The 24,333-nt window shown below is 41.7% G+C and overlaps 2 long non-coding RNA genes across 4 annotated transcripts in view; one reads left to right on the top strand and one right to left on the bottom strand.

Moving 5' to 3' along the window:
* Positions 1–24,333, bottom strand: part of LOC105372666 (uncharacterized) — a 483,513-nt gene that overhangs the window by 206,399 nt on the left and 252,781 nt on the right. The window lies entirely within an intron of this gene.
* Positions 16,098–18,516, top strand: LOC105372667 (uncharacterized). Its single transcript, XR_936859.3, has 3 exons — positions 16,098–16,182; positions 17,196–17,282; positions 18,453–18,516. It is a non-coding gene; the product is annotated as an uncharacterized LOC105372667 (long non-coding RNA).

Below are 24,333 nucleotides of genomic sequence, written 5' to 3'. Positions count from 1 at the left end.
GATTGGAATTTTCCTCCTCTTTGTCAGCATGGAAAACCTTACAATAATAAATACTAGTCTGAGGAAGCTGAATGAGGTTGAAGTCTTCAAATCATTATCATTTTCATCATCATCATTCTGGTCAGCTTCACCATCTTCATCATTTTCATCATCTTTATCACCATCATTTATTATTATTATCTTCATTATCATTTTCGTCATCAGTATCAATATTCTCCTTCATTGTCATCATCTCCTCTATCATATATAGATTTAGTAATTTTCCAGTTAGACACAATGTCATCTGTTGCTCACAACAGCTCCATGAGGTAGAAAAATTGAAGTTGCCTCATATGTGAATTCAACCATGTGAACAGGGCAAAAAAATTTAAAAAGAGCAAGAAATGAATATAGTGACTTAATGGTATATCTAATGCAGTTATGTGCCACTTAATGATGGGGATATATTCTAAGAAATGCATCGTTAGGTGATGGCATTGTGTGGACATTATAGGATGACTTACACAAACCTGGATGGCATAGCCTACTACACACCTTAACTATATGGTATAGCCTATGGCTTTCTAGACTACAGACCTATATAGCATGTCACTATACTCAATACCTTAGGCACTATAACACAATGGTAAGTATTTGTGTATCTAAACATAGGAAAAGTACAGTAAAACTACAATTTTATAATCTTATAGAACTGTCATTACGTATGTGGTCCCACACTCACCAAAGCGTCATTATGTTGCACATGACTATATACTATAAAATTATATTTTGCATATGTACTATTTTATAGAGTGCATATTATAGATACATTATTATACATTTACAAATACTTGCACTGTATAATTGTATACATAAAACCATGAGTACACTATTTTACAGTGACATAAGCATTCTTCAATGATAATATTAACTATCTCTAATTTACACTTTATTAGTTAATTTAAAATCTAACCTCTGGGCCAGGTGGCTTACGCCTGTAATTCCAGCACTCTGGGAGGAGGAGGTGGGTGGATCACTTGAGGCCAGGAGTTCGAGACCAGCCTGGCCAAAATGGTGAAACCCTGTCTCTACTAAAATACAAAAAAAAAAAAGAAAAAAGAAAAAAAAAATTTATCCAGGCATGGTGATATGTGGCCAGCAACTCGGGAGGCTGAGGCACAAGAATTGCTTGAACCCCAGAGGTGGAGGTTGCAATGAGCTGAGATCACGCCACTGCACTTTAGCCTGGGTGACGGAGTGAGACCCTGTCTCAAAACAAACAAACAGAAAAAGATTTTACACATCTTGGTGAAAGAAGGGCACTGTGTATGTTCTTTTTGCCTGATAGTCTTAAATTTAAGCAGGTATTAACCAGAACCTACACACACTTTATAATTCCCCTTTCTCTCCCTTCTTCCCTATGACCCTCCCTTTCTTCTTCCTTCTTTGCTTCCTTCAATTTTTCCTTCTTTCCTTCTCTTCCTTTCTTCCTCTCTTCCTTCTTGCCTTCCCTCCTTCTACCATATAGCTTTTGAATAGCAAGTTAAAAAAAGGAAACAGATACATAAACAAGATAATTCCAGACAATGATCAATGCTCTGAAGGAAATTAGGCAGAATGATCTGATAGAATATGCTTGGGCAGAAAAAGGTTGAAATTATTTTGGACAGTGACTTTACTTCAAACAGGAAAGCGGTGTAAGGAGGTGAGAGTGTGCCCTGTAGTGCAAGAGGCCCTTCCTGTTCCACTCAACCCCCACCAAAGTAATTTCGGGAGAAAAAAGGAATCTTGTATTTGGTTAGTTGCATTATCTATTGTTACATCTTCTTATAAGGCAGGCATGTCATATGACATTGACTGATGGCTGGCATGAAGTCTAAGAACCATATACAGATAGATACCCATGCTCCTTACCCATGCTAAGTAGTTAAACTTCAAGAGATTCATCTTTCCTTCAGGTTAAAGTTGAATGGCTGCACTGGCAGAGGGCTACGGAACTGCTATTCTTGATGTAGTTAGAGAAAATGAATGTGATTCGTTGTAGACAGTATCTTTTAAAGGGTAATATTTTGCCTGAAATATGAAGAGTGAGAAAGAGCTGACTCTGCGAAGAGCTGAGGGAAACACATTCTGGTCAGAGGGAAAAACTACTGCAGAGGCTTGGTGAGGAAGCGCTACTGTGTTAGGAAGACAGAAATCAATGTTTACGTAACATATTCACAGGTTCTGGGGACTGGACATGGACATATTTGGCAGGAGCCATTATTCTGTCTACAATTTTATTCTTCATCAAATGGTCAATTTATGCATTTATTTATGATTTCATTGTCTATATTTAAGGTATACCACATGAAGTTTTGATATGCTTATCTTGATATACATATCCAAAGTGAAGTGATTACTACAGTCAAGCAAACTAACATACCCATCATCTTATATAGTTATCTTTCTGTTTTGTTTGTGTGTGTGTGTGGTAAGAGTACCTAAAATCTACTCTCTTGGAAAATTATCGATATGCAATACAACATAACTAATGATGGTCCTCACATTATATATTAAATCTACAGCTTACCCTATATAAATGCAATTTTGTACTTTTTGATCTCATTCCCACCCCCATTCCCCACACCCGACCCTGATAACCACCATTTTATTCTGTTTCTACATGTTCACTTTAAAAAATAAATAAATAAATAATTATAAATCAATTTTCCTTGTTACTTTTTTTGTGTTTTTCATCAATTTTAATCCTCTGAATGTTATGAGGCAAGAAACAAGTCACTATACAACAAAATCACCTCTTAGATATATGTTAGTAAAGTTAATATGTAAGATGAAAGTTGCTTATAATAAAACTTCAATTTTTTTTTTAGTTACACCTCCTGAGAATTTCTCAAATATCCCAAAGATTTCCGTCCTTTATCAGCTTTTAACAAGTAAGTGCAGAACAGCCAGTTCTACCTCCTGCATTGAAATCAATTACTGTTTCATTATCTGAGCCACAGACAGGCATCTTTAACCAATGTAATGCAGGATTGCTCATACCAAGAGAAAAATAGAGCCTCTCCCTTAATCCTCAAATAAACAGGAGATTCCTGTCTTCCATCTCACATTCTGGGTGTGTGCTCATCTGGTCGTGTATTGGTGGAATGTGTCACATTATTTAAATTATCCCTACTCTTACACTCTGTCTTTTGTTCTGAGCACATATTTGAGATGCATCACCCATGAAAAACCATTATTCCTATTTTAGTTTGGCTGTTTCTACCCTTAGCCTCACCGCAATTACTGTCCTTGGAAGACAGTATACTGGAATTGTTGTCAGGGTAGCTTTGCTCTCAAATAGGTTTGGGATCACTTCACAATTAGTCCATTTATGTATGTGTCTATGAGATATTTAGCTCTTTAAGTCCCACTTTCTTTATCTCTACAATAGGTGTCATAAAACAGTGGAGTCACAGCTTACTCGGAGGTCAGATTTTTTTTTTTTTTTTTGAGACACAGGCTCGCTCTGTCACCCAGGCTGGAGTGTAGTGGCACCATCTCAGCTCACTGCAAACTCTACCTACTGGGTTCAAGTGATTCTCCTGCCTCAGCCTCTCCAGAGTAGCTGTGACTACAGGTGTGCACAATGCCCAGCTAATTTTTGTATTTTTAGTGGAGACCGGGTTTCGCCATGTTGGCCAGGCTGGTCTCAAACTCCTGGCCTCAAGTGATCCAGCCACCTCTGCCTCCCAAAGTGCTGGGATTACAGGCATGAGCCACCAGGCCCAGCCTAAAATCTTTTTTTTTTTTTTTTTTTTTTTTTTGCTTTTAAGTATGGGTCTCTTGCATTATCTTACATACATTTAAAAAATAGCTCTTCCTCCTGGAATCTCTATCCACTATTCCAATCGATTTCCAACTTTTTAAAGCCATAGATTCCTGTCTTCACAAAAAACCTTGTGCAGGAGTCCAATAAATAAAACAGATTCCCTGGAGCTGTTTTGGATGAAGCTTGGGCTGGAGGGCTGGGGAGCAGAGCTGGCCTGGGTCCTGGACATCCAACCCCACAGCAGCCCCTGCCATCCTGAACCCTGAAGCTCCCTGAGCTGCTTCCTGCATTTTGAGGGAACCATTTAGAAAACATCAAAATACTGAAATTTAGAATTTTACTCTCAAAATACAAAGGAGCTTTAATTAAAAATGCTGTATCAGCAGTTTCACATTAAGCTTCCACTTTACTTCAAATGGTTATGTTTGATTATGAGCGCACTCAATTGGGTGGCTATGTTATGCTTTTTTATAATTAGATAACAGAAGGTCTGAACACCAACAATATCCATCTTAGACATTGGTTTTGTGCAATCTTTCTAGACAGCCCTCTGGTACTACTGAAGCAGTGACTTTTTAAAACTTTTATGCAAATTGCATGTAAAATAATCCATGATATACTTTAGCATTAGTTGTTCTCAATTTGAGGAAATGCTGATTTAAAACATAATTTAACAAATTATTCAGTCAAGCATAATAAGGACAAAATTCTTTCTCCCATAAAATTTTCAAAGACATTTGGACAAGGACAGCAATAGTAGTGAAATTTGCTGAAAAACCTCTAACTCACATACTTTTTTTATCCTCCAAATATACTATTATGAAGTATAAATGGCCAAGCATACAGACCGTCCATTAAAAAGAATCTATCTAATGCAATCTTTAACAAACTTTTCAGGAGCTACAATTATGTCCTCAAAGCCCACAGCATGAATTTTTTAAAACAAATTTGATGCCATTATAAAGTCATGGATTGACAGTTCTGGAGACTGAAATCTTCCATTTAACCACTAACCGGGTGTGGCACAGACAGAGGCAATGAAAACCCTGTCCACTTTCCTACCACTTCTCCTCAAACTTACAGTGGAGACACTTTTAGGAAATAATGGAACACTGTGATTTAGGCTTGTGTTTAATCCAGGGCCATTTCACAGGCCATCTTCACTAAGACATAAATTCTTATCCACATGAAAGAAAGCCCATTTATTTCTCTCTCTCAGGACACAGGACAGCTTTCTAACACTGATGCCCTTTTGTTCACCATGCCAGATCAAAACCAAGTGCTCAGAAACTGATATTGTTTGGCTGTGTCCCCACCCAAATCTCATCTTGAATTCCCACGTGTTGTGGGCAGGACCTGGTGGGAGGTAACTAAATCATGGGGGCAGGTCTTTCCTGTGCTGTTCTCGTGACAGTGAGTAAGTCTCATGAAATCCAATCGTTGTAAAAAGGTGAGTTTCCCTTCACAAGCTCTCTTCTCTTGTCTGTGCCTTGTGAGACATGCCTTTCACCCTCTGCCATGATTGCGAGGCCTTCACAGCCATGTGGAACTGTGAGTCCATTAAAAGTCTTTCTTTTGTAAATTGCCCAGTCTCAGGTATGTCTTTATCAGCAGTGTTAAAATGGACAAATACAGAGACCCATGTCAATTCAGTGGCCTCTCACCAAAAAAAAAGAAGACAAAACAGATGAGGACACAATGCATTCACATCCATTGCATCATCTCCTGAGAAAGACAATGCTAGAATGATATTGGAACTTTGGGCCTTCTAACAAAAACACTTGTGTATAATTCCAAAGACTTTAGATGACTAAGTCATGGGAATCACAGTCAAACCTGCCAACAGTGAGAGTTGAACCCTCTACTCGACGGCTTCTTGGTCTTGGCATTTGGGGCTAGATAATTCTTTGCCGCGGGGGCTGTCATGTGCACTATAGGATGTTTAGCAGCATCCCTGGCCTCTACCCACTAGATGCCAGTAACACCCACCCATTGGAACAACCAAAAGTCTGCAGACATTGTCTTATGTCATACGTCCCCTGGGGGCCAAATTGCCCGCAGTTGAATCTCTACTCTCTAACACCCTAGTTCCAGTTCTCTCTCTTAGACCCCAAGATAGCCACAGTTGCACAAATTTCTTTTTCCCTTTATAGCTTTCTCTTCTTCTATCCCAGGCCTAGAAGGATAATTCTAAACACATCATTTTACAGACATGTTATTATATAGATAGCTGGGCTGCACAGAACTTGGCAAAGAGCCATGGACTGTGTGCTGTCTTCTGCCCTTTATCGAGAGTATCTTCCTGTTTTACAGTTGGTTGAATTATGCTCCAGCTCCCAGGCAGAGTGGCTGGCTGGAGAAGATCTGATGAGAACCACATTGTTTGGTTCATGGAATGTGATTTACACCCCCCAGATACTGAATTTTAATTTGTTATATACGTCTATTAAACTCTGCCTTCCTCCTCCCCTTTCTTAGAATGAAAAACAGATTATTTAGTGCACAATCTAAAAATCTGCCGGTTATTAAATTTTCCTTTTCGTTTAGTTTTGAAGCTTTTATGCCTCTGAAACTTATTTACATACTGTATATATTAAATAAAGTGTAATCCATAGTACTCACAGGATTCAAGAAATGATGAAGTACTGTTCCCATGGTCTCAAAGCAGAGTCTATCTGACTCCTCAAAAGAGGAAGAGATTTTTAGCCTTGGTCTACAACTCAAGAACATACTTCCACTGAAGCAGCAACTTACGCCAATATTAGGGAAATACATAAGATGCAACAAGTAGAGATGGTTGTATACACTCTGAGTGCTATGTTGACACCTAATATAATAAAATATAGTCTGGCTGGGCGCGGTGGCTCAAGCCTATAATCCCAGCACTTTGGGAGGCCAAGGCGGGTAGATCACTTGAGGCCAGGAGTTTGAGACCAGTCTGGCCAATATGGTGAAATCCCCTCTCTACTAAAAATACAAAAATTAGCCAGGCAGGAAGCGGAGGTTGCAGTGAGCTGATACCACGCCACTGCACTCCAGCCTGGGCAACAGAGTGAGGCTCTGACTGAAAAATAAATAATAAAATAAAATAAAATAGTCCTATGAGGTGCTAAGAAAAAATACAAGTATGTGTATATTGTTGTATATATTATATATTGTATATTTTATATTCCATTTCACAATATGCTTAAGAAGCCAAATCAAAGACAGAAAAAAAGCCATAATGTTCTATTTTAAGGCATTTATGCTTGTAAGAATTCAGTTCACCTTTCACATTGGTTAAAAATAAGATGCATTCATTTGTGAAATCATTCATAAAAATACATAATTGCTTTAATAAATCCAGTTTCCATATATTCAGTACCTACTATTACAGGAGGCATGTGACCAAAAAAAAATTTTAATTTAATGCTCAAAACAGCTTGGAAGTGTAGGTCTAATTAATTCCACCTTGCAGATGAGAAAAAACGTTCAGAGAGGTTAAGTAATTGTTCCAAGGTTACATGGCAAGCAAGCAGCAGAACTGGAATTTGAATCCAATTGGGATGACTCTATGTTGTTCATCCTGGAGCCACCTCATTATTTTACCTTCTCTGATCAGTTCTCTAAGGCCTGAAGTTGTTTGAAATTAAGTCAGTATTTTGGGGGAAAACCAAAGTAAATTGCAACCTTTGGAGCTTATTCAAATTCTATCTAAGCAGACTCTTCAGTATTTTTATTATTTTTAAACATTTTTTAGAAAGGCCCTACTTTCAGACTCATGGAGATTAACAGTTAAACATCTCTTTGGTTTGCAAAACAGCAAAACATTCCTGGTAATCCTGTCCCTCTTCTGCCTTCTGGTCACTCACTCACCTTTCCATGGCTCTCTCTTGTCCACCATCTGAGTCCAAAATCTATACTATTCCACCCTCATATTTCACTGTCCCACACTCAAATTCCACACCCCAGCCTCTGAGTGACTTGCAGTCCCCTAGCATCTGGGGCCTCTTTTAGTATATACTATGCTTATGCATTCATTGTTGAACATTTTTATCAGGAACCTACACTGTTGTACCTCCAGCTCCCAGGCAGACCGGCTGGCTGGAGGAGATCTGATGAGAACCACATTGTTTGGTTCACAGAATGTGATTTACACACCCCTACTGTTGTAGGTATGGGAAAGGCAATGGCGTATAAGACTAAGTGGCTGCCCTCATGAAACTTCCAGTCTAATATGGAAGAGACAGACAATGAATAAATCATGAACTGAAATATTTAGAATGTTGGGTTGTGATAAAGGCTTTGGTTGAAAAATAAAGCTGGGAAAGGGATTAGTCAGTGCTAAACTGGAGGAAGCTCCCATAAGTTTAAAAACCGTGGCCAGAGAAAGCCACACTGACAAGGTGGCTTTTCAGCAATAACTACAAAGAAGTGAGAAGGTGGCATGGATACCATCACAAGGAGATCCACATGGCTGGCACAGAGTAGGCAATGGAGAAAGTGGTAGACAATTTGGTGAGGATTGGGGGAGGGGCTATGATGTAGGAGCTTCTAATTATTATGACAGCCTCGAGGAAGACATTGACATTTACTTTAAGTGGTAAAATGGGTCTCTATTTTCTGTGCCTTTGTAACTTGAAGGCTCTGTCCTAACATAGTGATTCTGTCCATTTTTGCTGCTATGACAAAATACCTAAAAATGGGTAATAAATAAACAACAGAAATTTATTTCTCACAGTTCTGGAGGCTGGAAAGTCCCAGATCAAGACTCCAGCAGTTTCAGTGTCTGCTGAGGGCCCAGTCTCTGCTTCCAAGATGGCACCTTGCATGCTGCTTCCTCCAGAGGAGACGAACACCATGTCCTCACAGGCAGAAGGGATGCAAGGCAACAAACTCACTCCCACAAGCCCTTTGATAAAGGCCATAATCCCATCTATAAGTAATTCTGCCCTTACGACTTAATCACCTCTTAAAGGCCCTACTTCTTAATATTGTCACATTGGCAAGTAAGTTTCAACATATTAATGTTGCAGGACACTTCAGACCATAGTACATAGGATCTGAGCTATAGTACATGCTCTACGCATTTTTTCTTTTTTTTTTTTCACGGAGTCTCGCTCTGTTGCCAGGCTGGAGTGCAGTGGCGCAATCTCGGCTCACTGGAACCTCCATCTCCTGGGTTCAAGCGATTCTCCTACCTCAGCCTCCCAAGTAGCTGGGACTATAGGCGAGTGCCACCACGCACAGCTAATTTTTTGTATTTTTAGTAGAGACGGGATTTCACCGTGTTAGCCAGGATGGTCTCGATCTCCTGACATCTTGATCTGCCCACCTCAGCCTCCCAAAGTGCTGGGATTACAGGCGTCAGCCACCGCGCCCAGCTGCTCTATGCTTTTTATGCAAAGATTGAAAACTGTGTCTAAAGAGCCAAGAAGCTTCTGGAAATATGGAAGGGGACTGGAGAGGGAGGTCTTGTCTAAATGAGGCGCTAGCAACAGTTGCCAGATGGAATATGGTCCCCAGACCCAAACATCACACAGCTCTGGGTCAGCTGTGGCTTCTGGTCACCCAGCATATGGCCTCTGTTGCCACTCAGTATCTGTCTCTTGAATGAATCAAGAAGATAAAACACTGCAATGTCTCATTTTTAGAAATACTGTGAACAGTAAGAGTGTTCTATGCAGCAGTAAGAACTTCAGTATCAATCTTCATCAAACCTTTCATCTCACTGATGGATTAAAAGTTTGAGTGTATCCTTTCTAATGTATGATCAACCTGTGTTTTTTAAAATGATGCTTCCAAAATTCTGTTTCCCAGAAATTACTGTATCTGCCTAGGGTTAATAAGACACTTCTTGCCACTGTCATTCTTTTCAGCCTTCTTCTACAAGACCTGCTAATTTCACCAAGCAGGAGTAAACCTATGCATTACATCTATTTAATTGTCCCTAGAAAATATTGCTCTCTTTAAATGCAGATGTAAACAAAAACAAAAAAAGAAACTTTGTTTAAAAATGACCCAGAGTTAAGTACAAAAGCGGGGAAGATTTTCTGTTGGCTTTAACGGGGGAAATGCTGAATATGCAGTGAATTTTTTTATATTAATAATAATAGGAAACGGTAGATAGTGGCACCTCAGCACAATTCTAATTTAATGAGAAACAATAAAATAGTTTTCCAAAGGGACCTATTTAGGTCCAAGAAAGGGGAATGTTAAAGTTTCAAGATTTATTCTACTTTCGTTAAGGTATGCTGGTACACATTTTCTGAGGCTATATTCTACCCACTGATTAGATCTCTCTCTTTATAATTTTCTTACTTGTAAGGGAATTAGACTGGTATTTTCCAGGCTAAATAACTTTTAGACAAAATATTTAAACTGAATCAATTCATTCCCAGCACGAGGAAGGCTGATCAAAATCCTGTATCATTTAGACAGCCAGATGAGGCAAATTTTTAATATATTTAGATATCATTAAGTGCAAAACCATGGGAATCAACTATTAAGAAGTGCTTGTTAAGAAAAGAAGTGGATATACATAAAACTTCTGACAAAGTGCCATCTTTGATTTAAGCCTCCTTTTCTGGTGTTTTTCAAATTATGTGGACTACTTAACCAATATATATTATTCACTGCAATGTTCAAACAGTCTCCTATGTGAGGTGAGACTATGACGGTGAGGATGGCAATGATGATGTTGACGACAATGAAATAAATGATGGTGGTAGCTGACCCTAATTGAGCCCTATCTACATGCTAGACACTGTACTAAGACCATTATATTCCTTGCTTGACTTCCTCTTAACATTCATTATGTGCTAATCTGTGTTAAATGTGTAAAGTGGCTTCCCAACATTTTGCAAGTTACCTTACACTCTCATTTCACAGATGAAGAAACTAATGCTATGAGGTTGAGCAACCAGGAGTCACCTAACTGGACGGTCCCTAGGGAGAGGTGCTCGCAAGACTGGCAGAAATTGGGCGGGCTCTACTCCTAAGGAATACTGAAGTCTCTGTCACAGGTACAGCTCTTATAACCCCACAACATCACTAGAGAAGTTAAGATTCTTGAAAGGCGAAAAAATATAAAATACATTTATTAAGCATTTACTCTCTGATAGGCATTATGCTAAATCTTTTATTCTTATTATCCTTTCTAGTCCTCATCATAAATGCATAAGGAGACAGCATTGATCCCCATGCTTTACAGATGGGGGAAACAGAGGCATGAGAGTTATTTGTCCATGAGCATATGCCTATAAATGGTGGGGGCTGGGCTTGACCTGGGAAGTTGAAACTCAGAGCTCATGTTCTGGCAAAGTGCTATGTTTGATTTAAGCCTCCTTTTCTGGTGTTTTTACGTAATAGCCACTATTATGTTCTGGCTGTTTATGAACAAACTGAGCCTGAACTAAGCCCTTTGCCCAAGCTTAGAGTTGAAAGAACAGGACTGAGCTCTTCAAAGGACCACGTGGGCCAGGGCAACAGGCTGCAAAGAGAGTGACTATAGCCCAAAAGACTGGCAGACACTCAGAAAAGCCTACACCTTTTTTGCTCTCCTAGAGAGAGCGAGGAATCTATTTTTAAAAAAAATAAGAGTGAGATTTCCCACCAAATCCAAGAAATGGCCTTGGGAGAGATTAGATTTGATTTCGAAGGAAAAAGGAATGAGAGATAGTGAGTGAAGTCATGTTGCAAACCCATGCTGTTTACACTCAGATGCCTGGGACAGTCCCTGCCTTCCAGGAACAGAAATTCTAATGTGGATGCTGAGAGATGGGAAAACACAGAGTGCCATGAGAGGTGGGCCCCGACAGCAGCCAGCATTCCACAGCGGAACAAAATGCAATGCCCAGTCCCTCGTTGGGCTGAAGTCGAGGCCTCCTCTAGCTCTCCCCAGCGTGAAAGGTCTGCTCTTCAGCCAGTAAGGAGCCACTGAGGTTTCTGGGTCAAGGCATAACAGGGACCAAGCTGTCCTTTAAAGAGTTCAATTTAAAGCTGTTCATGAGACAGCATAGAATAGGAGATACTGAAAGTGCAGAGGCCCCTTAGGAAGGTAGCATGAAAACCTTAGAGATACTGAACATAAATAGTGGCAGCAGGAAAAGAGTCAAAACCAAAAACCAAGTTGAGAAGACATAGGATGAAAGTTTCCAAAGCTGCGCATTTCCTGCGAACGCTTTTAGGATTGGGGGTAGAAGCTATGGAGCGTTTGCAGAAACTGGCGTGGATGTGGGCTCCACTAATAATTAAGCCATGGGCTTTAGTGGGGCAACTGCTCAACCTCACTGAACATCAGTTTCTGTATCTGTAAAATAAAAGGTACAATATTCTCACTTCACAGTCTGTTGCAATGTTTAAGTATATAAAGCACTGAGCATACTGCACAAATATGTAGTAAAATGCAACAAATGCTACCTCCTAATACCATCAAACTTTTGTTTCTGTCAATACAAATAATAATAATATTCCTACATTACTATTTTAAAGGATCCCTACTTACTAGTTGATGATGGTAGGAGGGGAGAGAAAGAAATCAACAATAGCAACAAGGAAAACCCCATAACGAATCTTTCTTTCATACCCTTGCACTTGAAATGCCCTATATGAAGGTGTCACGTGGTGGTCTGCTTTGGTGGCTGAATGGAAGTCCCTGATCAGACAAAATGAATAAATGAACAAATGCACTACAACTGAAGACTGAAACACAGCTTATAATCTGGCCAACTCTCATCCCTGGGGGATAAGCATCCACCTGATCTCTCTGTAACCTGAACTATGTTTCAAAAGCTGGAGATAGTGATTTCTTTTACCCACATCTTCAGCAACATGTTAAGAGTCCACTGCAAGCCCTACACTGTGATGTCTTCGCTCTGTGATTCCCGATGATATTGATACATCACCCACCTTCCCAAGACTGATCTCCAAGTTAGTCCAGTGCAGAAACAACAACGAACATCCTGGCTTATGGTGTTCCAGGCATCATGCTAATCAGTTCATATACAGCTTTGAGAGAATGAAATTCAAACTCAAAACCTAGACCATAACATCAGCAAAGTCAGCTATTTCTGCTTCTCTGTCTTCTGCTACAGAACAACCCTATGCTGACTTCCTTCCATGAAAATGTAGAAACAGCCTCCTGCTAAATAGGTATAGTATACTGCTCACCTGCTTAAACCTCTTACAATTTCCCATTCCATTTACAATGGAATCTAAATTTTTTAAAATGGCCTTCCAGGACCTATATGAGTTACCCCAACTTATCTCTTTATTTTCTTATACATCAACACCTTCTTTTCCCCTGGAGAACAAAACTTGTTTTACTTCAGGACCTTTGTATTTGTAACATATCCCTTCTGCCTGGAAAGCTCTTCCCCTGAATCTTCCATCTCATACTAACTTTTTTTTTTTTTTGAGATAGAGTCTCAATCTGTTGCCCAGGCTGGAATGCAGTGGCGCGATCTCGGCTCACTATAAGCTCCACCTCCTGGGTTCACGCCGTTCTCCTGCCTCAGCCTCCCAAGTAGCTGGGACTACAGGTGCCTGCCACCAGGCCCAGCTAATTTTTTTTGTATTTTTAGTAGAGACAGGGCTTCACCGTGTTAGCCAGGATGGTCTCAATCTCCTGACCTCGTGATCTGCCCGCCTCGGCCTCCCAAAGTGCTGGGATTACAGGTGTGAGCCACCACGCCCGGTCATCTCATGACTAACTTCTTATTCATATCTCAGCTCATAGGTCGATTTTGTCAGAGTCCTTAACCTGACAGTCCTTTCTGAAAGTAATGTAACACCTCCCAGAGGTGTGCAGGAGCTGGCTTATACTGTGTGCATCTCTTCCCAACTCGTAGTCACGCTGGTCGCTTGAAATCAGCCATGGTGGGAGTATTTACGCCAAAGAAATTGGTAAACACAAAAAAAACCAAGGCTTTTTTCCCCCAGAGAACCAGGTATTGAACATTTACCAACACACCACCACCCACTTCTACTCCCCACCTTTCACTGTCTTAACATTCGGCTTTTTTCACTTTTTTAGCACCTATCATTCTGAAATCATCTTTTCTATATGTTGTTTACTTTTTTATTAACTCTGTCTTCCTGTTGGGATGTAATTTACAGATAGCAAAGACATCCAAACTGTTCATTGCTATATTCCTAACACTCAGAAGCATGTGTATAAGAACTTTAAACATTCTTACTGTAAGAAGGAATTAATTCAATTCGCTTTCCCTATATTATTTGCCCCACTCTATTTAAGATTCTGAATTTCCTAATGGAGGTCTTTCATGGTTAAGATATTTTCAGCCTAGAATTTTCTAGTAGTTATAGCTTCAAGCACTATCAACACGGACAGTGTATGTACGCCTTACCAGTCACCAATTAAGAATTGGAATGATGATTTAAAACATCATTTACTAGTTTTCCTACTCCATAATATCTGTTTGAAAATTGTGAAGAGCTCACCCTTGTCTCTTTTCATTCCAGAGTTCTATGTAGAAAAATGTCTCCCTTCTGAAGGGCACTTACTATAAAATCCCTTTGTTAGAATAACAGGACCATCTGGCCCCATCCATCTTGCTGCAATTTGATCCTGGGTTAATTGCACCCTGTCACTGGCCATGATTGACACTGTCTATGTTTTCTCTCTTCACTAAGACTAGTTCATTATGGAGGCAGCTTTTAGAAGACTCAGATTCTTGAAGACTTTTCTGCAGCTGCTCGGATGGAACCAGAGACTTTTGTTAGGCTTTTCCTGGTGGCCCACGGGATCAGGATACCACCGAAAGTAAGACATGAGAGGGGAAGTTGGCCACAACAGGAAAGAAGAGATCAATCCTTTGAAAGGTTGAAAGGCTGACAAGCAGAGGAGAAGAGCAATTAAACAATCACTCTGATTGATTACCCAAGCATGCTGGATGATATTGATTAGAAGCACCTCTTAACAAAAGTATGGCATGCCTGTGTCTGTAGATATGGGGTCCCAAACACAAGTGCCTATAGGAACTAAACAGATAAAATATATAGGGAGGCAAATAGAGTACAAAATAATACAGATAGGGAATGATGTGGCAAATTGAAGACCCCATGCTGCCCTTTAAAAGGGGCAACACACATCAAGCTACACCCAATATTTGCCAAGAAGGAATCTGGAACCAGCAATGTCAGATTCTAATGGATGTTGTTGGTTGCCTCCCAAAATCCAGTCAGTGTAACCCCCTTCTTTTGTCAATGTAACCCCCTTCTCCTACATAAGTTGGAAAGTTGGTCCTACTTTTATTCTATTCTCTACATTGCCAATTAGAAGAAATCTACTCCGCTCGTCAGTGTTCAGTATAAGAATGGGCGTGTAACCCATTTTGCCATTGAGACATGAAGGAAGTCCACCTGGATGTCAGGACTTCCAAAGGAAAAAACAGGAAAACATCATTTTTCTTCCCTGGACAACACTGTGTCTTCTTGAGATACTGAAAACTGCTGCCACCATCTTGCTAAGAGACAAACACGGATGAGGACAGAGTCCAGGGCACCTGAAGAAGGGGCAGCAGATCCCTGTGACACCACACCTGGAACCAACCTCTGGCCTTCGTGTTACAGAAGAACATCATTTTTCTTATCATTTAAGATGGTCTGAATAAGGTTTTACTTGTTACTTGCCAACAAAAGTACCCCAAGCAATATACCAACCTCCTAACTTGCCAAGTGAAGTGGGAATTCCATTTTTAAAATTGTGGTCACTAATTTTTAATATTATAGAGAAAAGTCCCCTCTACAGAAAAGGTGGACTTACTAAAACAAACAAACGGCCAGGCACGGTGGCTTGCACCTGTAATCCCAGCACTTTGGGAGGCCAAGGGTGGCAGATCAGGAGTTCGAGACCAGCCTGGCCAACATGGTAAAACCCCATCTCTACTAAAAATACAAAATTAGCTGGGTGTGGTGGTGCATGCCTGTAATCCCAGCTACTCAGGAGGCTGAGGCAGGAGAATCGCTTGAACCAGGTAGGTGGAGGATGCAGTGAGCCAAGATCATGCCACTGCACTCCAGTCTGGGTGACAAGAGCAAAACTCTGTCTCAAACAAACAAACAAACACACTTCAGTGGGGTGGGGGCAGAGGGAACTTTTTTTTTTTTAACTCATGGTCCAGCTTGTCACCTTAACTCCCAGTTTGCAGTGGAATCTATCCCAAATTGTATATCTCAGACAGGTTTTAAGTTCCTGGAACTTGAAACCTCACTTGAAACATGTTGCCTCACCATTAATCAAGAGGACACTTCTCCCTGCCTGCCTTTCAAAGCTTCACTTTCTGCATAATTTAGGTTTGCGTATCAATATCCAAATGCACCAAGGTGTGGCGCTCAGCGAGAGAGATGTGGGGCTGTTGGAGAGAAGACCTTCAAGAATCGAGGAGGTTTGTTAATTCAGTTTTTTTGCAAGAAAAAGGTCATGAAAATGAGAAAATACTTACCTTATTAAAGTCCAGCAAAGCCAATAAACTTGAATTACTATGTATATTAACATGGTTATTTCTGCAAATATGATCCATTCCTGTCTTCTCAGCTTTGCTCATGACTTGACCCCTCTCACAAAATATCCTCTCTTGTCCTCTCTGCCCATCCATACTTTACCTAGATTTTACTTAAGGCCTAATTCAAAGCCTGCGTCTTCCAAGAAGCTGCTTCTGACTGGGAATTCTCAAACTGTTTCTTTATGTGTGGTTGACACATCAACTGTGCAGAGCCTTCTGGAGCCATCTGTCTGTTGAATAGTAGTCTTCTGACTTCAGGATCAGAGCCCGAGCAAGGGAATCTTCAACTGATAATTGATATGCTCCAGGGAACCTTCTGCACATTACAGTTGGGAGACATTGTTCCAATGTCTCACAATTTTATCATTATAATGGAGTTTTGAATCATTACCTGGGTTTATTTTTAAATCATTCTTTCCAAGAAGGTCATATCATCTCGACTAAATTATGAGCTCCTGGAAAGGAAGGACCTTATTTGCTACTTTCATGTTCTTATTTCTCCTCTCTAGGCTGTAGTTTCCTCATCAGCAAAATGCAGATGTATAGTTCCTGCTTAAGGGGTTGTTTTAATGAGGCAATGAGACAATTAAAATATATTTAACCCTAACTATGTACCAAGACACAGTTCCAAGGCTTAGACACATTTTTCACTTAATCTTCAAAACAACTCAGTGGAAAAAGTGAGATCATCTCCTTCTTGCTAAAGAAGAGGCTGATCTCCCTTGAACTCCTTGGCTCTAGTGATCCTCTGGCCTGCTTTAGCCTCCTGAGTGGCTGGGACTGCAGGCACTCACCACCACACCCAGTGGCTAATTTTTTATTTTTATAGACAGGGTCTTGCTATGTTGCCCAAGCTGGTCTTGAACTCCTAACCTCAAGCAATATTTCTGTTTCAGCCTCCCAAAGTGCTGGGATTATGAGCATAAGCCATGGTGCCAGGCTCCCCAGGGAAGTTAGGAAGTCTGGAGACGTTCACACAGCTGGTAAGGGTAGAATAGACTTTGAAGCCACATTCTTCTAAGTCCATGTTTTACTCCTATCCAGATATCTATGCAATTATAAATTACTGGTGATCAATACACATCCCTGGACATAGTTGCCAAAAACCCAAAATACACTAGTGCCCAGAAGAAAGGCAGGTTAAAATGTCCTGCCCTAGACCTTGGAGCTGGAGAAAAATCACTCCACTTTTCTTAAAACAAGAATTATCAATTACGTGTTGGAATCAGATCTTATCCTGAGAGTACAGACCTGAGGCCCCCACCTCAAAGGACACTGGGCCCTCAGAGAAGAAAATCGAGGAGAGCAGCAGCTGTCGGAAGCCCCATCAGAAGGGAAGCAACCGCGAGCCTCGTAGCAACGGGCTGGGCTGTAGAAGCAGTTGACACATGCACTCACCCATGGCTGCGTTCTCCGCCTGTGCTGCCTGTAACAATCATCTGGGAAGGTATCTTTAAACGAAATCCCTGAGCCTCAGCCCCAGAGATTTGGATTTCATGATTCTGGGGCCTTCTGAGAATAGGAAAGATTCAAAGCTGCCCAGGTGATTCTGACATGCACCCAGCCTGAGAAACATCAGACCACAGGCAGCCCTGACCTCTTCGTAGCCTGCCCTGCAGACCTTCAGCCTGTTCCTTTTTTCATCACGAACAGGCCTCTAGGTTGGTGCCTGGCATATAGTAGGCATTGCAGAAATATTATTGAAAAAGATGATAAGTGAATGCTGAAACATGCTCAAGTGACTCATTTAGTCTATTTCCTATCCCCTCGCTACCACTTCACTTGCTCGTTATCGTCAATGGTTTCCTTGTCTCACTCTAGAACATCCAAACAGTCAGGAAAACTGCAACTCCATTATCTAACCTGGTCCAAAACAGTGTCAACTTATAAAACCATTAATAGAGTCTAGGGTTCTCTAACTTAACCCCCAGGAGACAGTTCTCCATGGATCTCTCACGTTTCTTTATGTCCTGTGAGCAGAGGCCCTGACAGCTTTTGTTGCGGGGTTGGAAGATAGAGAGAGTGTTTCTCTCTAGAGCAGAGGGCAGATTTGTTTCCTGGTCAACAAAAGAAAGATAATGTCTCCCTCTAGGGCAAAGGTGGGACAGGCTCGCTTGAAGCCCTGTATTAAAGATTGGGTTACTTAATTTCAGGATTCCTCTGCTATGACACAAACCAACGGTGTGCGGCATCTACCTCAGCCATTCCTCTTGGCCCCAAGGGGCCAATGCAAACACGAGGAGGCTCCCGCTGCAAGCCGTGATGTGTGGAATGAAGTCCTTTGTCTCTAACCCAGAAGTCTCACATCTTCTGCCAGCGTTTAAAGAACCATGACAGGTAACTTGATAGCCTGCAAGTAGGGTAAAAATATTAGATCCTTCCCAGTTCTTGGCAAGCTCCTATACCACTCCCCAAACTGAATCCCCATGCCTTTCCTTATTTTTGTGGAATAGAGCCTTATCACTAAGCACACTGGTTGAAGCTGCCAGTTCACAGGTTGTTCTTCCTCAAGATACTAAAAGTTACTCAAGAATAGGGACCGGCCAGGCACAGTGGCTCATGCCTGTAATCCCAGCACTTTGGGAGGCCAAGGCAGGGGGGTTCAACTGAGGTCAGGAGTTTGAGACCAGCCTGGGCAACATGGTAAAACCCCATTTCTACTAAAAATACAAAAATTAATCGGGCATCATGGCACACCTGTAATCCCAGCTACTTGGGAGGCTGAGGCAGGAGAATCACTTGAACCCGGGAAGCGGAGGTTGCAGTGAGCCGAGACTGTGCCACTGCAATCCAGCCTGGGTGACAGAGTGAGACTCTGTCTCAAAAAAAAAAAGGGACTAAGTGATATTTATTAATAGATCCGATGCTAGTAAAAACAAAGCCCTTAGTGCCCAATCTGCACATCCTCTCCTCCCATCCCTCTCCGGCTCACCTTGTCTCTGTTGCTCTACTCTGCAGCCACACTGGCCTCCCAGCCTCAGGGCTTTGCCCTTCCTGTTCCCTCAGTACGACGAATGCTCTTCCATCCAATTTTCCCATGACTCCTTCCTGTGTTTCATCTGAGTCTCTGCTTCTGTGATATTGTGATCTATAATAATACATATGTACGTGTGTGTGTATATATATATATATGTATTTAGTCTTTGTCCAGTTTTATGACACAGAGCTCCTAAAACTCTTGGAATCTCCAGAATGAAAAGAGTGTCTTTTGTATGCTAATGAGAAGACTGGGGGCTGGTGGCCCCTAGACAGCCTCAGGGTGGGGGCTGGTCAACAGAAAGACCAAGGCAGGCTTACAGGGTTGGCACTTTCAGCCCCACCTCTCAGCCTCCAAGGAGAGGAGAGGAGCTGAAGGTTGAGTTGATCACCAATGGCCAATGATGTAATCAGTCATGCCTATGTAAGGAAGCCTCCTTACAAACACTGAAGACACATGCACAGGTATGTTTATCGCAGCACTATTTACAAAGCAAAGACTTGGAACCAACCCAAATGCCCATCAGTGATTGACTGGATAAACAAAATGTGGGACATATACACCATGGAGTACTATGCAGCCAAACAAAAGAATGAGATCATGTCCTTTGCAGAGACATGGATGAAGCTGGATGCCATCATTCTCAGCAAACTAACACAGGAACAGAAAATTAAACTGTTCTCACTCGTTAAGTGGGAGTTGAACAATGAGAACACATGGCCACAGGGAGGGGACACACTGGGGCCTCTCGGGGGATGGGGGCAAGGGGAGGCAGAGCATTAGGACAAATACCTAATGCATGCAGGGCTTAAAACCTAGATGACAGGCTGGTAAGTGCAGCAAACCACCATGGCACACGTATACCTATGTAACAAACCTACACATTCTGCACATGTATCCTGGAACTTAAAGTAAAATTAAAACAAACAAACAAACAAAAAAAGAACAGGACGGGGTTCAGATTGCTGCCAGACAGCTGAACCTTTACCTGGAGCACCTAGAGAGGGCACGGAAGCTCAGCATTCCTTCCCACATGGTTTGCCCTGTGCATCTCTTCATTGCCCATCTGCACTCGTTGTAATATCCTTTATACTAAATGGCCACATGTAAGTACGTAAGTAAAGTGTTTCCCAGAGTTTGTGAGTTGCTTTAGCAAATTAATCAAACCTGAAAAGAGAGTCATGGTAACCCCTGATTTATAGCTGATTGGTCAGAAGTATAGGTGACAACTTACTACTTGTGATTGGCATCTGAAGGGGGAGGGTCAGTCTTGTGGAACTGAGCCCTCAACCCGTGGGGTCTGATGCTATTTCCAGGTAGATAGTGTCAGAATTGAACTAAATTATAGGATTCCCAACTGAAGAATTGCCTGTTGTATAGAGGAAAAAACCCACACATCTGACGTTGAAGGGGCTGTGTTAAGTGGTATGTGACACTAAGAAAACACTTTGGTTCTTTCCAGTGTCTTACAGCTTCCCACCATAATTTAAACTCCACAAGGGGCTTCATCTGTTTTGTTCACTCTTGTATCCTCAATGCTAAGCACCATTCTAAGAACAGTGCCTAACACAAAATGGGCGCTCAATAAATATGTATTGAATTGGCAAATAAATTAAAGAATAAAAGCACCTAGCCCTGTGCCTTGCAAAAGTAGCTGCCATGAATGTAACCATGGTAAATATATAAATTTTAGCCAGCAACATCCAGTCCATAAAATGCCACATTTCTTTATTTCTTGAGATTAAGTTTAATCAGCTCTGGGCCCCTTCTGCTGGACCAGTAGGAAACTCAATCTCAGTCTTGGAGGGGACTCTCTAACCCTCTCTAGCATCATGCATAAACCCCAGGAGGTGAATGCAGCTTAGAATATTCAGAAAAAGGATCTTTGGTTTTCAGACGATAACCATCACTGCTGATAAATGCTGTGTCCCCCAAAACATACACACCACTGCTACAGAATACTGTCAGTGGAGTCCCACACAGACATCCCCTCTAAAGTTCAGCCACTTCCTGGGGCACTAGCAAAGAGGGATCAGACCCATTTTATCAGCAAAAAAAAATGCAAAAGCCAATTTTCTTTGCCAGCTATAAGGTCGCTCTCCATCCTCCCTCTATTCTGTCTGCTCCCACCTCCACCTCCCAAAAATGCTCCTCTCCATCCCTCCAGCACAATACCCTTCAAACGACTTTAGATTTTCCAAATTTTAAGCTTGGAAAATCTTGCCTTTGGCCCTACAACACACAAGCTGCTGTAAAATGCTAAATGAGGCATTTAAACAGACTTGTTGAAATTCAACCAGGCAAATTCAAAGTCTCGGTTTCCTTCTTTGCATGGCAGGGGAAATACATCAGGGAGAACAAAATACACAGTGATACCCAATAAATTACCTGCCACTTTAGAATTAGTCTTTGTGTGTGTGTGTGTCTCAGCATTCCACACAGCGCCTGGTCCGTAGGTGTGAATAAATGTTGATAGAATTCGTGACACTCGTGTCCATGAAACAATGGACACATTAGAGACCATTTAGTAAATTTGTTTTAGGTGAATTTATTCACAATTCATGCAAATAAATTGAATTTACCTAAAACAAATTTACCAAATGGTCTTTAAAGTGGACATCTCCCTAGAGATGGTTTGCACTTCTAGGTCCTCTCTCCACCCTTCTTCACTGTTGCAGGGCTCCATGAGGATGACTTCTGCCTTCTGGTGGGGTTTGCTGCCTGGGATACACTAGCAGAGTATCTCAGGGAGGGAGGAGAGGAACATCAAGGTATGAATTCTCTCCACTCTTGGTCAGTTGTAATGGTGTCACCAACTACTGACTGTGTTCCTTGTTTCAAGGAGTGTTTGTGATGGACTGAATGTTTGTGTCTTCTCAAATTTATTTGTTGAAATTCTTACCCCCAATGTGATAATGTTAGGAGGGTGGGGCCTTGGAGAGGGGATTAGGTCATGAGGGTGGAGCCCTCATCAATGAGATTAGTGCCCTCGTGAGAAGAGGCCAGAGGATGCAGACACAGGAGGTCAGTAGTCTGCAACCTGGAAGAGGGCCCTCACCAGAATCTGGCAATGCTGGAACTTTGTTCTTAGACTTCCAGCCCCCAGAACTGGGAAGAATGAATTTCTGTTGTTCAGAAGAAACCCAGGCCATGGCGCTTTGTTATAGCAGCCCAAGACAACTTTCATTCAGGGAAGCAGGACCACTAATGTGGGTGAGTGTGTGTGAACGCATACCTATAGGTATGGCTTTGTGCAGGGATTTGACCAAAAGCACTCATGGGCGGAGGTGACATTAGGCAGTGTCCCATGCTCCAGGCTCATGGGGCAGACGGTCAGGGAGGGAAGCTGGATGTAAAGTCAGGGAAAGCAGAGACAAGCTGGTGCCTACAAGGAGGAGCTGCAGCCCACGGGATGGATGGAAACCCGTGTCAACTCTTGTTGCCTCTGACCATGTCCATGAGGGTGGCCTGCAGTGACCGGACCCTTCATCACTGACATGAACATACACCCAGTCTAAGAGTCAGGAAAGCTGAAAGGAGACGCCAGGGGAAGAGGAAACAGCAACAGAGCAGGCCGAGGAGGGGAATCAGCAGATAGGGACCATGTGTGAGCCACAAAAGGGCTGCAGCTTCACGCCCATTCCTCCAAATCCCACACAAGAGTTTCTCTGTACCCTTCCCCAGCCACACCACTGAGAAGAGGATTCCAGGAAGTATGGTTCAGCCTGACCACATGGACACCTGCAAAGCCAGCACCTCCCTCAAGGAAAGCTCCCAGCTCCCAGCTCCTAGCTCCCAGCCCTGCCAGAGCACTTCCTCTCCTCCCAGTCAGCTCACAGGCTTGCAGGACCTCCCTCAGTCAGTCAGCTCCTCTCCCTTTCCTCCTTCTAGTCAAGGAATGAATGCCAGCGTCCTCTTGTCACCAGCCCCAGAGCACTGCATGGTCCCTGGTGGTCTCCCAGCACACTGCCCACACCGTTTTTGTATACCCTCCTCAAATTACCCAGGTGGGCTGCGCCATCTATTTCCGGCTGGGATCCTGATGAAGGGTACACCTACCCTTGGTGCATAGGAACAAACAGAATGTGAATTGGTGAGTTTATTTATGGCTTTTCCCTGCTGGAAATATATTTGTTTAAAACTATTAACTGAACAACTATAATTTGAGCACCTATCTGTGCCAAATAAACATGCTAGGGATGCAGAGGTGAACAAAAGGCACAAACTCTCTACTCTAGTGGATCTTGCAGTCTAGAAGAGATTGATAATAAACATATCTGCTTCCTTCAGCAAAATGTTATAGACACATAAACTTGTGATAGTCATTAAATTTCTAGAATCTTCTGAGGAAGCATTAATGGTGACTTATAAAATATAGTTATTATAATCCTGCATCTCCAAAGATATAGTTTATGTTGTCTCTCTTTTAAGAATATACCCCTGAATAAAAGAAAAAGGATCTTATAATGAACACATGCCAAGTGACTGGTAGTGTACTAGGCTTTCTATAGATAATAAGATATCTCATTTAATTCTCACACAATGCCACAAGATTAGTGAATAGAAAATATTATCACCACTAAGTAAATGGGGAAACTGAGGCTGGGAGAGGTAATATGACCAGCCTAAGGTCACACAACTGATAAGGGAAGAAGGTAGGATTTTTATTTTGGGTTTTGGCTCCATATGTGTAAAGAATTGTGCTAAATGTTTTATTTAAAAAAAATTACAACAAGCCTAATAAAGTAGGCTTTATGACTGTTCCTCCTCTTAAACAAGAAGTAATTTCAGTGTAGAGAAGACACAAAAATATTAAACAGAGGAGTCAGGAACCGAACCCAACTCAGCCTGATCCTTCTTCCTACACCGCAGGCAGAACCCATAAAACACAATTGGCAAGGCATTTGTTAAGGCTGCGTTTCAATCCTGAATATCTTTCTCCATAAATACAGAGAGAGATCTACATATCTATAGAGATATAGCCCCACATATTCATTATATTCTATTCAACACATAATACAGATATTCCATCTAATGCTTCAAGCTGTTCTACTCCT

The sequence above is a fragment of the Homo sapiens genome, chromosome 20 (assembly GCF_000001405.40).
Source record: "Homo sapiens chromosome 20, GRCh38.p14 Primary Assembly".
NCBI classification, from domain to species: domain Eukaryota; kingdom Metazoa; phylum Chordata; class Mammalia; order Primates; family Hominidae; genus Homo; species Homo sapiens.
The sequence above is the reverse complement of the archived record's forward strand: the minus strand, read 5'-3'. Positions and strand labels throughout refer to the sequence as shown.